The sequence below is a fragment of the Homo sapiens genome, chromosome 12 (assembly GCF_000001405.40).
Source record: "Homo sapiens chromosome 12, GRCh38.p14 Primary Assembly".
NCBI lineage: Eukaryota > Metazoa > Chordata > Mammalia > Primates > Hominidae > Homo > Homo sapiens.
Window position 1 is genome coordinate 111777147 of NC_000012.12, and position 16598 is coordinate 111793744.

The 16598-nt window shown below is 51.0% G+C and overlaps 1 protein-coding gene across 2 annotated transcripts in view, besides 2 other annotated features; it reads left to right on the top strand.

Annotated features, from left to right (window-relative positions):
- ALDH2 (aldehyde dehydrogenase 2 family member) overlaps window positions 1-16598 on the top strand; it is a 50600-nt gene that overhangs the window by 10214 nt on the left and 23788 nt on the right. The window contains exons 2-9 of one of the 2 annotated variants that reach the window (NM_000690.4): window positions 4772-4876; window positions 6012-6152; window positions 8121-8200; window positions 12677-12788; window positions 13288-13416; window positions 14160-14273; window positions 14915-15017; window positions 15452-15636. In NM_000690.4, coding sequence (NP_000681.2) covers window positions 4772-4876; window positions 6012-6152; window positions 8121-8200; window positions 12677-12788; window positions 13288-13416; window positions 14160-14273; window positions 14915-15017; window positions 15452-15636 — 969 coding nt within the window. The remainder of the gene's footprint in view (window positions 1-4771; window positions 4877-6011; window positions 6153-8120; window positions 8201-12676; window positions 12789-13287; window positions 13417-14159; window positions 14274-14914; window positions 15018-15451; window positions 15637-16598) is intronic. The other variant, NM_001204889.2, reaches the window with a different exon arrangement.
- Window positions 13840-14765: an enhancer, noted in NCBI's record as "H3K4me1 hESC enhancer chr12:112228790-112229715 (GRCh37/hg19 assembly coordinates)". NCBI's record gives its function as "activates a minimal SCP1, AML or CMV promoter by ChIP-STARR-seq in primed H9 embryonic stem cells {active_cell/tissue: H9 hESC(primed)}" and the evidence as "EXISTENCE:reporter gene assay evidence [ECO:0000049][PMID:30033119]".
- Window positions 14766-15690: an enhancer, noted in NCBI's record as "H3K4me1 hESC enhancer chr12:112229716-112230640 (GRCh37/hg19 assembly coordinates)". NCBI's record gives its function as "activates a minimal SCP1, AML or CMV promoter by ChIP-STARR-seq in primed H9 embryonic stem cells {active_cell/tissue: H9 hESC(primed)}" and the evidence as "EXISTENCE:reporter gene assay evidence [ECO:0000049][PMID:30033119]".

Below are 16598 nucleotides of genomic sequence, written 5' to 3' on the forward strand. Positions count from 1 at the left end.
CAAAGCCTGGCTCTGCCTTTGCTGCTGTGTGACCTAGAGCCAAGTGGCTGGACTCTTCTGTGCCCAGCATCCTCTGCTGTGAAGTGGAGAGGATGAAGTTCACCTCCTAGGTTTGCTATGAGGTTTAAATGGGAACAATCCAAGTACACAGAACCGCTGGTGTGGGGCTGGTTCTTGAGGGGTAGCTAGTGAATGTTAGCCATGTCCATGACACGCAGAGGGCTGAGTGGACTTCCTCCCTGGGTGGGGGAGGAAGAAGCTTGGGGATAGTACAAGGCCAACCAGACCTACTTCCACCCAGCCCAGCCTAGTGCTTCTCTGTACTCTCCTAACCCTGCTGACCCAAGTGCTTTGCTGTGAGGCAGTTGTGTGTGAGGCGTGAACCCTGAGCCTGTGCTACAGGGGGAAGGAGAGAAGGATGCCTACTCAATGGCTGCAAGCTGCCTGCCCGCCCCCCACGCCCGTGAGCCCCCATCTTCCAGCAGGCAGACCCGGGAACTCCCTTCTCCTCCACGGGCACCCCGAGGAGGAGCTGACTTTCAGAGTCGGGGAGTAAACACCCAGGACCTGCTGCCCAGGCACGGCATAGTCCAACTTGAACTTAGGTCTGGCAGTTTCCTGGCTTTGAACCTGAGCTCTTTATTGCCACACCTGTCCCCACACTGGAAATGACCCAGCCCTCCCGTGGAAAGAAAGAAGGGTGCCATTTCCCTAAAAATTAACGATTGACTAACTAATATGAAACCACACAAGCACGCCTCCAGAACCCCAGTTAATGTTTACCCATGTTCTTCTCCGGTGCCAAGAGCCTTTCCTGTGGGTGCACAACTGCGGGTTCCACCATAGAGATTATGCGGAACAAATTTCAGCCTGGGAATATGATTCCTGCTAGGCCCTTACCTGAACGACTCCTTCCTGGGGCACTCTGTTTCCACCCTGCCATCGTCATGGCGTTGGGCATTCACTCCATGCTTGGCGCAGAGACTGCAGACCCTCACATGGCTTTATAAAAAGGGGGCTCTAGGGTGATTCCCACCCTACAGATGAGGAAACAAAGACACAGGGGTGAGGTGCTTGTCCCATGTGACAAAATCAGGAGCAAAAGAGCCCATATTCGGCCAGGCGCGGTGGCTCACGCCTGTAATCCCAGCACTTTGGGAGGCCGAGGTGAGTGGATCACCTGAGGTCAGGAGTTGGAGACCAGCCTGGCCAACATGGTGAAACCCCGTCTCTACTAGAAATACAAAAATTAGCCGGGCATGGTGGCAGGCATCTGTAATCCCAGCTACTCAGGAGGCTGAGGCAGGAGAATCGCTTGAACCTGAAAGGCGGAGGTTGCAGTGAGCCGGGATCGCTCCATTGCACTCCAGCCTGGGGAACAAGAGCCAGACTTTGTCTAAAAAAAAAGAAAAAAAAAACCCTCACACCTGTAATCCCAGCACTTTGGGAGGCCCAGACGGGCGGATCACGAGGTCAGGAGATTGAGACCATCTTGGCTAACTCGGTGAAACCCCGTCTCTACTAAAAACACAGAAAAATTAGCCGGGCATGGTGGCAGGCGCCTATAGTCCCAGCTACTTGGGAGGCTGAGGCAGGAGAATGGTGTGAACCTGGGAGGTTGGAGTGCAGTGAGCTGAGATTGCGCCACTGCACTCCAGCCTGGGCAACAGAATGAGACTCTGTCTCAGGAAAAAAAAAAAAGCCCATATTCGTCCAGATTCTTTTTTTTTTTTTAAGAGTCTTTTTCTGTCACCCAGGCTGGAGTGCAGTGATGCAATCACGGCTTACTGCAGCCTCAACCTCCCAGGCTCAAATGGTCCTCCCACCTCAGCCTCCTGAGTAGCTGAGACTATAGGCACGCAACCACACCTGGCTAATTTTTCACTTTTTGTGGAGAGAGGGTCTCACTATGTTACCCATGTTGGTTTCAAACTCCTGAGCTCAAGCAATCCTCCCACCTTGGCCTCCCAAATTGTTAGGATTACAGGCGTGAGCCACTGTGCCTGGCCACCCAGATTCTTGTCTTGAACCTCTGCTCCTTTTTGTGTTTTCTTTTTTGAGAGAGGGTCTTGCTCTGTCACCCATGCTGGAGGCAGTGGTGTGATCATGGCTCACTGCAGCCTCAACCTCCCAGACTCAAGCAAGTGATCCGTCCATCTCAGCCTCCTAAGTAGCTGGGATTACAGGCGCATGCGACCACACTTGGCTAATTTTTCATTTTTTGTGGAGATGGAGGTCTCACTATGTTACTCAGGTTGGTCTCAAATTCCTGAGCTCAAGCAATTCTCATGCCTTGGCCTCCAAAAGTGCTGGGACTACAGGTGTGAGCCACTGTGCCAGGCCAAATGTCTGCTTTTGACCAGTGAGCCTGGCCACCCCTCCCCAGCCCTGTTGTGAGCCTCACTCCAGGCTTTGCTTGGCAGCTCGGTATTCTTTATGGTCCGAGACTCTGGCCCAGAGTGACCATGGATGTCTCACTGGAGTTCTAGGCCAGGGCCAGGACATGCAGGGATGCTGGGGCCAAAGGGACCCCCAAGGAAGGCAGGCAGAGAGGCAGATGTCTTTGCCTTCACGTCACCTGTAGCCTTTGCCTCAGCACTGGTGAGGTGACCATGGACCCTGCCAGGACACTGGTTTACCAAGCCCGAAGGGAACAGCTTGCTGGGAGATGTCTTCTCTGCACTCCCCAAGACCATCGCCCAGTGCCTGGAAAGCAGAGGGCGAACTCTGGCACTTTATGTATGTATTTATTTTTATTTTTTGAGACGGAGTTTCACTCTCGTTGCCCAGGCTGGAGTGCAATGGCGTGATCTTGGCTCACTGCAACTTCTGCCTCCTGGGTTCAAGCGATTCTCCTGCCTCAGCCTCCCGAGTAGCTGGGACTACAGGCGCCTGCCACCACACCTGGCTAATTTTTTGTATTTTTAGTAGAGATGGGGTTTCACCGTGTTGGCCAGACTGGTCTCAAACTCTGGACCTAAGGTGATCCGCCCACCCCAGCCTCCCAAAGTGCTGGGATTACAGGCATGAACACCGCACGCAGCCTCGCACTTTAATAGGTGACTTTAGGTAATAAGTAAGGACCCTTCCTCTGAGCAAATGGAGGGGCTTTGGCTCTCTGACATTGGCCTCATGAGGAAGGAAGTCTTTCCCCCAGATGTGGCTTGGTTGGGTGATGGCCTGGTCTGAATTACATTCTAGAGGCGGAACCGTCTTGGGACCCGCCCTCCTCCCTGACCCCGTTTTTTATCACTTCCTTTCTGGTTCACCAGTAACTCTGGCCACCTTTGCTTTTTCTCAAATCTACCAGACTTATTCCTGCCCTGGGGCCTTTGCACTTGCTATTCCACAGCCTGGACTGCTGGTCCTCCGGCTCTTCCTGTGGACCCCTCCTTTTCATCATTCCGGACTCGGTCAAATGTCCACTCCTCAGGGTGACCTGCCCCTACCACCACGGCTGGAGTTCTCTACCCCCCACCTTAGTCACCTTCTCTGGATCCTCTTCTTCCCTTCGCCTTCATCTGTACAGTCTGAGGTGGTCTTCTGTGTTTGATTGCCTCTTTATTTCCTGGGCACCATGAGAGCATGGTCTTTGTTGGCTTTTGGCTGTACTGTGTCCTCAGCCCTAGAACTGTGCCTGGCCCATCGCAGGTGTTCATTAAGTGTTTGCTGAGTGAGTGAAGTAATAATCTAGGGCTGGGCATGGTGACTCACACCTGCAATCCCAGGACCTTGGGTGGCTGAGGAGGGAGTATCGCTTGAGTCCAGCCTGGGGAACATAGAGGGACCTCATCTCTACAAGAAATACAAAAATTAGCCAGGCGTAGTGGCGTGTGCCTGTGGTCCCAGCTACTCAGGAGGCTAAGGCAGGAGGATCACTTGAGCTTAAGAGGAAGAGGCTACAGGGAGCCATGATCACGCCACTGCACTCCAGCCTGGGCAGTGGAGTGAGACCCTGTCTCAAAAAAGAAAAAAAACAATAAAAAGAATAATCTAATTTAGTTCTCACAACAAATTTGTGTGGGAGTGGAATAGAATGAAGGTGGTTGCAAATTGTTTGCCATTCCTTCTAGGGAGAAGGGGAGGCTCTCTCCTCAACCTGGGACTCTGGACTGAGCCTGTGACTCACTTTGACCAACAGAATTTGGTGGCAGAAATGAGGCCAAGTGACTTCTGAAGCTAGATCTTAGGAAGCCTTTCAGCTTCCACCTGGGTCTCTAGGAACACTGTCTCAGGGGAAGCCAGCTGCCATGTGGGAAGTCGGACTAGCTTGAGCCAGCCATGCAGTCAGGAAGCCCAAGCAGCCATGTGGTGCCAGACGAGTAAGTGCAGAAGCCATCTTGCACATCCAGCCTCAGAGGTGGATGACTATTGGCCCCAGCTGTCCTCACACTGTAGCCACACAAGGGAACTCTGCCCAGATGAGCCCAACCAGGGGACTCTACTGTGGGAGATAAGAAATCATTTTAAGCCACCAAGTTTTAGGGTGCTTTGTTACACAGCAATGGATAACTAGAACAAGTATGAACATTCTCTTCATTTTTTAAAGAAACCAAGGCACTGAGAAGTCAAGTGACTTACCCAAGGTCACTTGGCAGAGTGAGCATTCTGGCCTAGATTGTCTGCAAGGCCTGTGCTTTTCATTTGTAGGCTACACCACTCTGAAATTAATTCATATTTGCTTTTTCTTGTTTTTTTTTTTCCTTACAATACTGGTAGTCAGTATTAGGTTGACAGCTGGTCCTGAGAACTTCTTTCCTTCTCATTGTAGATTTTCATAAACAATGAATGGCACGATGCCGTCAGCAGGAAAACATTCCCCACCGTCAATCCGTCCACTGGAGAGGTCATCTGTCAGGTAGCTGAAGGGGACAAGGTGAGAACTGGTGACTTACCTTGGGGGAGGGATGGATTCGTCTTCTATTTTATACGTTTTTGTGTGGTGAAAGCTTTACCATATATGTGTATTACTTTCACAAGTAACAGATACCAGTGAAAAATTCCGAGTAAATTAATCAATAGAAACTTGTCTGCAGACAACGGTGTTAATTCACTTAGTGTAGAACTATAGACTTAGAAGTGAATTCGGCAAATATCTAATACAGTGTCTCCTTTCCAGACCTGGAAGTTGAAGGTCAGAGATGGAAACCTTGCTGGGTAGAATTTGGGTCTCCTAAGATCTAGCTCCTGTGGAGGTTTGAATTGTACAGACTGTAGGAACCAATCGAAACTGATAATATTCTGTTTAAAATTTTTAAATTAGACTCTTAGTAAAAATATTTTGTGTTTTTGGCCGGGCGCAGTGGCGCAGGCCTGTAATCCCAGCACTTTGGGAGGCTGAGGTGGGAGGATCACTTGAACCCAGGAATTTGAGACCAGCCCGGGGAAACATAGTGAGATACCATCTCTAAAGTAAACAAAGAAACAAATAAGTAATTTAAAACTAAGAAAATACAGGCCAGGCGCAGTGGCTCAAGCCTGTAATCCCAGCACTTTGGGAGGCCAAGGTGGGCAGATCATGAGGTCAGGAGTTTGAGACCAGCCTGACCAACATGGTGAAACCCCGTCTCTACTAAAAATACAGAAATTAGCCAGGTGTGGTGGCATCTCTTGAGTAATCCCAGCTACTCAAGAGGCTGAGGTAGGATAATTGCTTGAACCCGGGAGGCGGAGGTTGCAATGAGCCGAGATTGCGCCACTATACTCCAGCCTGGGCGACAGAGCGAGATTTCGTCTCAAAAAAAAAACAAAAAAAAAGAAAATACAGAAATTATCCGGATTCTCATTCCCACCAGGACTTCATGAAAGGAGGGGAAGGTCATGTTATTCAACCCCATTGCTGAAGTCTGGTGCTCATCAGGGCTCTGCCGGGCTAGGAGCATTGTTTACGGGGCAGGTTTTCTGTGCAGCGATATGCTGATGACCTTCTGGATGTGTTTGTATTCGGACCTGGTTATTACTGAGAAGACCTGAGTTTTCCAGGAAGGCTTGAGTTTTCCTGTGTTTTCTAGGAAGATGTGGACAAGGCAGTGAAGGCCGCCCGGGCCGCCTTCCAGCTGGGCTCACCTTGGCGCCGCATGGACGCATCACACAGGGGCCGGCTGCTGAACCGCCTGGCCGATCTGATCGAGCGGGACCGGACCTACCTGGCGGTGAGTCCTCAGCCCTTCTCCCCCTCAGATCCCATGTGGTGAATAGGCTCGCAGCATCCTGTGAACAGCCAGGAACCAAGCATCCTGTGAACAGCCAGGGAACACACATCTGACACGGGACTGATGGGAATGGCATAGGATGGACACCTTTAGGGGGCACCTCTGTACTAACCAGAGGAGCCTTTCAGTGTCTCCTTTGTTTTTTTGTTTTGTTTTGTTTTGCTTTTTTGAGATGGAGTCTCACTCTGTCGCCTAGGCTGGAGTGCAGTGGCGACATCTCGGCTCACTGCAACCTCCACCTCCTGGGTTCAAGTGATTCTCCTGCCTCAGCCTCCCAAGTAGCTGGAATTACAGGCACAAGCCACCACGCACAGCTAATTTGTGTATTTTTAGTAGAGACAAGGTTTCACCATGTTGGCCAGGCTGGTCTCCAACCCTTGGGCTCAAGTAATCCACCTGCCTCAGCCTCCCAAAGTGCTGGGATTACAGGCGTGAGCCACCGCACCTGGCCTTTGATGCGGCGGGTTTGGCTAAGCAAGAAGGATCTGGGGGAGGGGAGAGGAGCTGTGTCAGGGAGGCCTTCCCAGGAGAGAGACCCCTGGGAATGGACACCTCTCCCTCGGCCCCTCCATGGTGGGCCTTCTCCCTGGCTGCAAGAGGAGAAGAAACCAGGAGGCAATCTCCTCCCAGCCACAATTGATTCTGCACACAGAAGCCAGAGCAAACCTTCCAGAAGGCAGATTATACATGGCACTCTGCTCTTATCCCTGCATGGCATGCGGTGTCCTTAGGATAAAATCCTCAACATGGTCTGTAAGACCAGCCTGTAACATGGCAAGATCCTGTCTCTACAAAAAGTTAAAAAACTAGCTGAGTATGGTGGCATATGCCTGTAGTCCTAGCTACATGGTAGGCTGAGGCAGGAGGCTTGCTTGAGCCCAGGAGTTCAAGGCTGCAGTGAGCTGTTGTGGTGCCACTGCGCTCCAGCCTGGGCAACAGAGTCAGATCCTGTCTCAAAAAAAAAATGACCCAGCCTGTTCTAGTTCCATCATCTGAGTCATGCTGCACTGCAGTCCTCACATTCACATGTGCTCCTGAGCCTGGGCTCCCATGCTTGATGGCCAAGCCTCTTTGAGCATCAGCGCTTGCACCTGCCTGGGATGCTCTTCGCCCTGCTGCCATCTGTACCATCCCCTTTGCCCAGTTGCCCCCTACATATCATTCAGGTTCTAGCCTAAAGGGCTCATCTCTGGCTGATGTTTCTAGACAGGGCTGGGCAGCCTGGCTCCCTGCTTTCTATTTTTTAGCATTCTTTTATTATTATTATTATTTTTTGAGATGGAGTCTCACTCTTCACCCAGGCTGGAGTGCAATGGCACAATCTCGGCTCACTGCAACCTCTACCTCCCAAGTTCAAGCAATTCTCCTGCCTCAGCCTCCCCACTAGCTGGGATTACAGGTGTGCACCACCATGCCCAGCTAATTTTGTATTTTTGATAAAGTCAAGGTTTCACTGTTTTGGTCAGGCTGGTCTCGAACACCTGCCTCGGCCTCCCAAAGTGCTGGGATTATAGCTGCAAGTCACTACATCCGGCCTCTAGCACTCTTAACACATGTGACTGAGGACTTGTGTCATTATGCACAGTCTCTTTGCTCTGTAAGCTCCACGCTGGTCTCTATCCCAGCACCTGGATATGGTAGAGAGCAGAAGCTAAAAGAGTGTGTTTATGAAATCACTGAGTGAGAAATTGGTGGCTCATCCTGCCTGGCCCCCTTCCTCCTCCTCCCTGCCTTTGGAGAGACCATGGCAATAGTCCAGAGATGCTAGTGACATTTGGGGCACAAAGCGGACTCTCACCCTGGGCTTGCACCAGCCCTTCTCAGTCCCAGCCTTGGCGCCCTCTGTCAGCCCTTTGTTTTCCTCTCATTCCTGCACCCATGTCTCTGCTGACCTTGTTTTCTTCTCAGGCCTTGGAGACCCTGGACAATGGCAAGCCCTATGTCATCTCCTACCTGGTGGATTTGGACATGGTCCTCAAATGTCTCCGGTATGGGCTCAGCTTTCCTGTTCTTTGTTCTGGCAGGGGAAAAGGGGAGGCAACGTTGTTAGGAGGTAAAAATTAAATTACAAAAATTCAAAAGGGGCAGAGCGCGGTATCTCATGCCTATAATCCCAGCACTTTGGGAGGCTGAGCCAGGTGGATTACGTGAGGTCAAGAGTTTGAGACCAGCCTGGTCAACATGATGAAACCCCATCTCTACTAAAAATACAAAAATTAGCTGGGCATGGTGGCGCACACCTGTAATACCAGCTACTCAGGAGGCTAAGGTAGAAGAATCTCTTGATCCCTGGAAGTGGAGGTCACAGTGAGCCAAGATCACGCCACTGCACTCCAGCCTAGGTGACAGAGTGAGACTCTGTCTCAAAAACAAAAACAAAAAATGAATAAATTACAAAAATTCAAAAGGATCACAGGAGTCAGAGAAGGCTACTCTATTTAGACTCCAGCTCATGGGAAAATCCTTCAATATCACAAATTGTGATTAGTCATAAATGCTTTCTTTTGTTCTTGAGTCACTTTTGGTACTTTCTGTGTTATTTGGAACTTGTCCATTTTATCGAGGTTATCTAATTTGTTGGTGTACAATTGTTCACAGTATTCTCTTATAATCCTTTTTATCTCTGTAAGATCTGTAGTGTTGTCTTCATTTTCAGTTTTACTTATTTGGGTCTTCTCTCTGTTTCTTAGCCTAGCTAAAGGTTTGTCCATTTTGTAAATGTTTTCAAAGAACCAAACTTTTGGTTTTGTTGATTTTATTATTTTTCTATTCAAGAAAATATTGTCTTTTGTCTATCTCCGTTTCAGTCTTTATTTCCTTCCTTTTACTAGCTTTGGGTTTGGTTTAATCAAAAATGTTTGATTGATTGATTGATTGATTATTATTATTATTTTTTGAGATGGAGTCTCGCTCTGTTGCCCAGGCTGGAGTGCAGTGGTGCGATCTCAGCTCACTGCAAGCTCCGCCTCCCGGGTTCATGCCATTCTCCTGCCTCAGCCTCCTGAGTAGCTGGGACTACAGGCGCCCGCCACCATGCCCGGCTGATTTTTTGTATTTTTAGTGGAGATGGGGTTTCACCGTGTTAGCCAGGATGGTCTCAATCTCCTGACCTTGTGATCCACCCTCCTTGGCTTCCCAAAGTGCTGAGATTAGAGGCGTGAGCCACCACGCCTGGCGATTGATTGATAATTTTAATTTTTTTTTTTTGAGGCAGGGTCTCACTCTTGCCCAGGCTGGAGTGCAGTGGCACAATCATAGTTCACTGCAGTGTTGACCTTCTGGGCTCAAGCAATCTTCCCACTTCAGCCTCCTAAGTAGCTGGGACCACAGGCGTGCATCACCATGCCTGGATACTTTTTAAATTTTTTGTAGAGACGGGGGTCTTGCTATGTTGCCCAGGCTAGTTTTGGACTCCTGGGCTCAAGTGATCCTCCCACCTCGGCCTCCCAAAGTGCTGGGATTACAGGCATGAGTTACTATGCCCAGCAAACATAAACATTTCAATGACCAAGGAACAAGGGCTTTGTTAAAGCCCATGTGTTGGAGCTGCCAGAAATTCACTGAGGCCAGGCACAGTGGCTCACACCTGTAATCCTAGCACTTTGGGAGGCTGAGGCGGGTGGATCATTTGAGGTCAGAAGTCCAAGAGGAGCCTGGCCAACATGGTGAAACCCCATCTCTACTAAATATACAAAAATTAACCAGGCAGTAGTGGCGCATGCCTGTAATCTCAGCTACTCAGGAGGCTGAGGCACGAGAATCACTTGAACCCAGGAGGTGGAGGTTACAGTGAGCCGAGATCGTGCCATTGCACTCCAGTCTGGGTGACAGACTGAGGCTCCATCTCAACAAAAAAAAAAGGAAAGAAAGAAATTCACTGAGCCCAACTTAAACGATAGAGTCAAGAGGTCTCTAATGCAAAAGGCCATTGAGTCTCACTCACCTCCCTGCTTGCTTCATTCTCCTCAGCTACACTGGCTTTGAGGGCCAGTTTTTACATTGGGACCTGGTAGCCCACACCACCTGTTCTTGTACCTCCATGCCTGATTCCAGCCAGGCTAAGCTGTCATCTTTTAGTTGTAATGCCATATTCCTGAGGGAGGACCCTGAGTGGCTGGCCTTGGTTCTGGCCAGCTGTGGCCAAGGGTGGACAGATCATTTGTGTACATAATGGCTGCCTCCCTATGACATGTAAACAGAGGTGGTGGGGAGGAAGCAGTGCCAGAAGAGTAGAGGTTGGACAAGAAAACAGTTGGGCCGGGCGCAGTGGCTCACTCCCATAATCCCAGCAGTTTGGGAGGCCGAGCTGGGTGGATCACCTGAGGTCAGGAGTTCGAGACCAGCCTGGCCAACATGATGAAACCCCGTCTCTACTAAAAATACAAAACTTAGGCTGTGCGCGGTGGCTCATGCCTGTAATCCCAGCACTTTGGGAGGTCGCGGCGGGGGGATCACGAGGTCAGGAAATCGAGACCATCCTGGCTAACACGGTGAAACCCCATCTCTACTAAAAATATATATATATAAAAAATTAGCTGGGCTTGGTGGCAGGCGCCTATAGTCCCAGCTACTCAGGAGGCTGAGGCAGGAGAATGGTGTGAACCTGGGAGGTGGAGCTTGCAGTGAGCTGAGATCGCGCCACTGCACTCCAGCCTGGGCAACAGAGCGAGACTCTGTCTCAGAAAAAAAAATAAAAAATAAAAAAATTAAAACTTAGATGGGCGTCTTGGCAGGCATGCTACTTGGGAGTCTGAGGCAGGAGAACCGCTTGAACCTGGGAGGCGGAGGTTGCAGTGAGCTGAGATCGCGCCACTGCACTCCAGCCTGGGAGACAAGAGCGAGACTTCGTCTCAAAAAAAAGAAAAAAAAAAAGAAAACAGTCGGTATCCTTCACAACAGGTGCACACAGCCAGGGCAATCACGCCTCCCCGGGGACACTGGGCAATGTCCAGAGACATTTTTGGCAGCCTCGACTGCGAGGGGAAGGGTACTACTGGCATCTAGTGGATAGAGGTCAGAGATGCTGCTCAACATCGTACAATGCCCAGGACAGTCCCACAACAAAGAATTCTCCAGCCCCAGATGTCAGCAGTGCCAAGGCTGAAAAACTCCCTCTGCAAGGACACCCCAGAGAGAGCAGCCTGGTACATCTCAGTTGGGGCCACATGCTTTCCTGAATTTTGGCATTCTGCTTTTGTGCTGATGAAATAACTTCTGGGGCTTGCAAAACACATGTCATGTAGACTGTGTTTGTATAGATCTGGGGGAGGGAAGCTGCAATGCCTGGGCTTGCATAGATTGGCAACCCCCTAGCTAGCTTTCTTCCAGGGTCACAAACCCATGTTCAAACCCAGGTCACTAGCCAGGTGCTAATGGCTCGAGCCTGTAATCCCAGCACTTTGGGAGGCCAAGGCAGGAGGATCACTTGAGCTCAGGAGTTTGAGAGCAGCCTGGGCAATATAGGGAGACCCACATCTCTACAAAAAATTTAAAAACATTAGCCAGGCATGGTGACATGTGCCTGTAGTCTCAGCTACTCAGGAGGCTAAGGTGGGAGGATCACTTGAGCCCAGGAGGTCAAGGCTACAGTGAGTTATGATTGTGCCACTGTACTCCAGCCTGGGCAACTGAGCAAGACCCTGTTTCTTTCTTTCTTTTCTTTTTTTTTTTTTTTTTTGAGACAGAGTCTCGCTCTGTTGCCCAGGCTGGAGTACAGTGGCGTGATCTCGGCTCACTGCAACCTCCGCCTCCCAGGTTTAAGCCATTCTTCTGCCTCAGCCTCCCGAGGTGCTGGGATTACAGGCACCCGCCACCACGCCCAGCTAATTTTTTGTATTTTTAGTAGAGACGGGGTTTCACCACCTTGGCCAGGCTGGTCTCGAACTCCTGACCTCGTGATCTGCTCACCTAGGCCTCCCAAAGTGCTGGGATTACAAGTGTGAGCCACCACACCCAGCAAGACCCTGTTTCTTAAAAAAAACAAAGAAGGTCAGGCATGGTGGCAGGTGCCTGTAATCCCAGCTACTTGGGAGGCTGAGGTAGAGAATCGCTTGAACCTGGGGGGCCGAGGTTGCAGTGAGCCCAGATCACACCACTGCACTCCATCCTGGGAGACAGAGCGAGACGCTGTCTCAAAAAAAAAAAAAGAAAAGAAAAGAAAGAAAAAAAAAAAATCTAATTCCTGGGCATGAGCCCCAGAGAGTGGGATTGAGTAGATTGGAAATGGACTCCTGGGATCTGGTGTTTTTTACAAGAACCCCAGGCGATTCTGAGGCTTGGGGGTTAGCTACCTAGAGTAGATTTTCGTGACCTTTGCAGTCACTTGTCTCTCTCTGAATAAGCCAAAAGCAAAGACAGTTTTCAGAAAGACTCAGCTGGACCAGTTTGAGTCTTCTCTTTCTGCCAGGGTTTGCAGGGGTCCCTGACAATCATTGATTCGAGCTTGAACGTTTCTTTGTTTAAAGGTATTATGCCGGCTGGGCTGATAAGTACCACGGGAAAACCATCCCCATTGACGGAGACTTCTTCAGCTACACACGCCATGAACCTGTGGGGGTGTGCGGGCAGATCATTCCGGTGAGTCCAGCCTCCCTGGAGTTTCTTCAGGGTGCCCTGAGATTTGGCAGTCTGCCAGACTCATTGCAGAGGTTCTGGGGTGGTGTCGGAAGGCAGCCTGGGTGGCAGGTAAGAAGATGGGCTCTGACAAAGCCAATCCGGTTTGAGTCTCAGCACTGCCACTCGTGAATTCTGTAACCTTGGGCAAGTCACTTATCCCCCAAGCCTCAGTTTCCCCATCTGAAAAGTGGAAATGAACATAGTGCCTGTCTTAGGGAGGTAATTAGGGCTTAGCATGGTGTCACGGACATAAAAGCACGGATAAATGTGAGTCTGTCATCGTTGTGCACCGCCTGCCTCATCCATTCATCTTAAAACCACGATGGATGGAGTTAGGGGAGGACACGCAGGGTTCAGAGAACTCGGTGCTGCTTCTGCCCTCTGGGGTTGCCACCTTCTGCTACCCAGTGTAGTTCTCTGAGGAAGCTTGGATTTCGAGGGCTGCTGTTGTTTGTTGCAGTGGAATTTCCCGCTCCTGATGCAAGCATGGAAGCTGGGCCCAGCCTTGGCAACTGGAAACGTGGTTGTGATGAAGGTAGCTGAGCAGACACCCCTCACCGCCCTCTATGTGGCCAACCTGATCAAGGAGGTGCGTGGCTTATCCTGGTCTTAACCTCTAAATGCCCTTGTTGAGGCTTGTTCTAAAGGAGTTCTGAGAAGGGTCTCAGGGGTCCCTAAACAGGGAGGTGTGTTTGTGGAGCCCCCATCACCATGTGAACCAGAGTGGCTCCCTCTTAGCTTTTTTCCACATTGGACTTCACTGCAAGATCCCCTTTGAAGAATTAAAAATATTGCTCTAGGCCAGGCTTGGTGGCTCACGCCTGCAATCCCAGCACTTTGGGTGGCCAAAGCAGGAGGGTTGCTTGAGTTCAGGAGTTTGAGACCAGCCTGAGCAACATAGCAAGACCCCATCTCTACAAAAAATTAAAAATCAGCTGGGTGGCATGCACCTGTAGTCCCAACTACTTGGGAGGTTAAGGCAGGAGGATCACTTGAGCCCAGGAGTTTGAGGCTGCAGTGAGCTGTGATCACACCACTGCACTCCAGCCTGGGTGCCAGAGAGAGACTCGGTCTCAAAAAACAAACAAAAACCCACTGTTGTTCTAAGTGAATGCTGTCAGGGGAGGGGCAAAGACACAGGGAACCCCAGCGAACAGACTCCTTCTCCGTCCCATTTAGAATTCCCATGTAGTGCCCCATACAATTAGCTTCTGACCACATGTGTCCTTGGCAGACTGTCCCACCCTCTCTGAGAAAGGATGTGTCTTCCCCTGGTTGAGCCCTTCAGAATAGGAGGGTGACTCCCAATGTCCCCTGGCTGTTTGCTCACAGGCTGGCTTTCCCCCTGGTGTGGTCAACATTGTGCCTGGATTTGGCCCCACGGCTGGGGCCGCCATTGCCTCCCATGAGGATGTGGACAAAGTGGCATTCACAGGCTCCACTGAGGTAAGGTGACCCTGGCCTCAAGCTTGCAGCCTCCTTGGCCCAAGCTCCCCCTGTCCTCAGTGGACGACATGCTCAAGGTGAGCTCCCGGGTGTCAAGCGGAGGCCTTTTCCTCCAGGACGACCCTGTAGGTACCAGGAGGGGTGGGGCAGGGTTGAGCCCTTCGTGGTCTGGTTGCCACACTAGCTGCCCTTGGGAGGGGCCAGTGTCCCATGTGGACTAAGGAGGCCAGGCCTGGCCAGACTCCACATAGCCCAGAGCTGACCGCTTGCCCCAAATCAAAGCATCTTGGCCAGGTCAGACTCCTTGACCAGGACTGCCATTGTGGTTAAAAATTAGCCTTGTGTGGTGGTGTGTGCGTGTGGCCCCAGCTACTTGGAAGGCCGAGGCAGGAGGGTTGCCAGAGCCTGAGAGGTCAAGGCTGCAGTGAGCTGAGATCACGCCACTGCACTCCAGCCTAGGTGACAGAGCGAGACCCTGTCCAAAAGAAAAAAAAAGTGAACGTCTATTTGGTGAAATTCTCTAGGTCTCTCGTGGTCCAGTTGCTCACTCAAGCTGTGGGGGACTCTGTTCTGTGTCTATAGAGTGCTGGACTCTTTTCTCCCGGCACTGAGAGCTTGTTCCTGTCTTTCTGTCCCCACAGATTGGCCGCGTAATCCAGGTTGCTGCTGGGAGCAGCAACCTCAAGAGAGTGACCTTGGAGCTGGGGGGGAAGAGCCCCAACATCATCATGTCAGATGCCGATAGTGAGTTTCCAGCTGGAGAAGGCCTGGCCTTGAAGGTAGCCCTGGCCACCTGTGTTGTGGCTCCAGCCGATCCTGTCGCCCCCCCAGTGCCCAATGGCGTTGGTTGCTGTCCCTCGGGCCTCAGGATAAGACGCCAGCGCAGGGCCTGCATGGCCTGGCCTTGGCCTGTCCCCAGCCTCTCCCTGGCTGCTCTCTGCATCATCAGGCTAGGCCACGCCCCTGCTATCTGACTCATCCACTTGCCGCCATCACGCCCTTTGTCCTGGTTGGCAGTGGGCTCCGAGAGCACCCCTCATCTCCCTGTATCTGTCTCTGGCACCCAGCAGGCATCAACCCTTACAGTGGTGGGAACAGGCTCCATTGGGCAGGCGGCCACCAGGGCCAGGGTCCTCCTCCTCACTGTCACCTTTCTGTCTCCTGCCCACTTCCCGCAGTGGATTGGGCCGTGGAACAGGCCCACTTCGCCCTGTTCTTCAACCAGGGCCAGTGCTGCTGTGCCGGCTCCCGGACCTTCGTGCAGGAGGACATCTATGATGAGTTTGTGGAGCGGAGCGTTGCCCGGGCCAAGTCTCGGGTGGTCGGGAACCCCTTTGATAGCAAGACCGAGCAGGGGCCGCAGGTGAGCCAGGCAGTGCCGCAGGGTCTGGGTGTCTAGAGCCAGCATGAGAAGCAGAGAGGGCATCGGGCTCAGATCAGTTGGGACTGGGTTCAGGTCTCAGCTCTACCACACAGCAGCTGTGTGCCTTTGGGAAGCTATGTTCCCTCCCTCAGCCTTCATTTCCCCATCCCGAGCCGTGCCCTGCCTCATTCACAGGGTGGCTGTGATGTAGAAATTAATCCTGGGAAGCACTTTGTAAATTGCATATATGTAACAAATACCAGGAGTGTCTGCAAAAGGGAGTGTGTGTTTCCAAGACCTTGGTCATCAGTAGAAGTGTATCCACCAGAAGATACACAGCTCTGTGAACCTTCGTGTCTGAGAGCCATGGTATGGCTAGTATAGGGACTTTATTTCACTTCATGTTTTGAGCTGTTTGATTTTATTTATTTATTTATTTACCTATTTATATTTTAGAGACAAGGTCTCTCTTTGTTGCCCAGGCTGGAGTGTAGTGGTGCAATCATACCTCACCTCAGCCTTGAATTCCTGGGCTCAAGGAGTCCTCCTGCTTTGGCCTCTCAAAGTGCTGGGATTACAGACATGAACCACCACACCTGGCCTGGATTTTACTTTTGAGCAGTTGTAGGTTTATAGAAAAATAGAGCTGAACGTACAGAGGGTGCCCATATATTCCTTCGCACCTCCCTGTTCCACCAGTTTCCCCTTTATTCACATCCTGCATGAGTGTGGTTCATCTGTTAGTATTGATGAGCCAATACTGGTACCTTATTATTCACTTAGGTCTGTAGTGTATATTCGGGTTTTTTTTTTTAATTTTTATTTTTTTTGGAGACAGAGTTTTGTTCTGTCACCCAGGCTGCAGTGCAGTGGCACGATCTCGACTCATGCCTCCCGGGTTCAAGCAATTCTTGTGCCTCAGCCTCCTGAGTAGCTGGGACTACAGGTGCGCACCACCACGC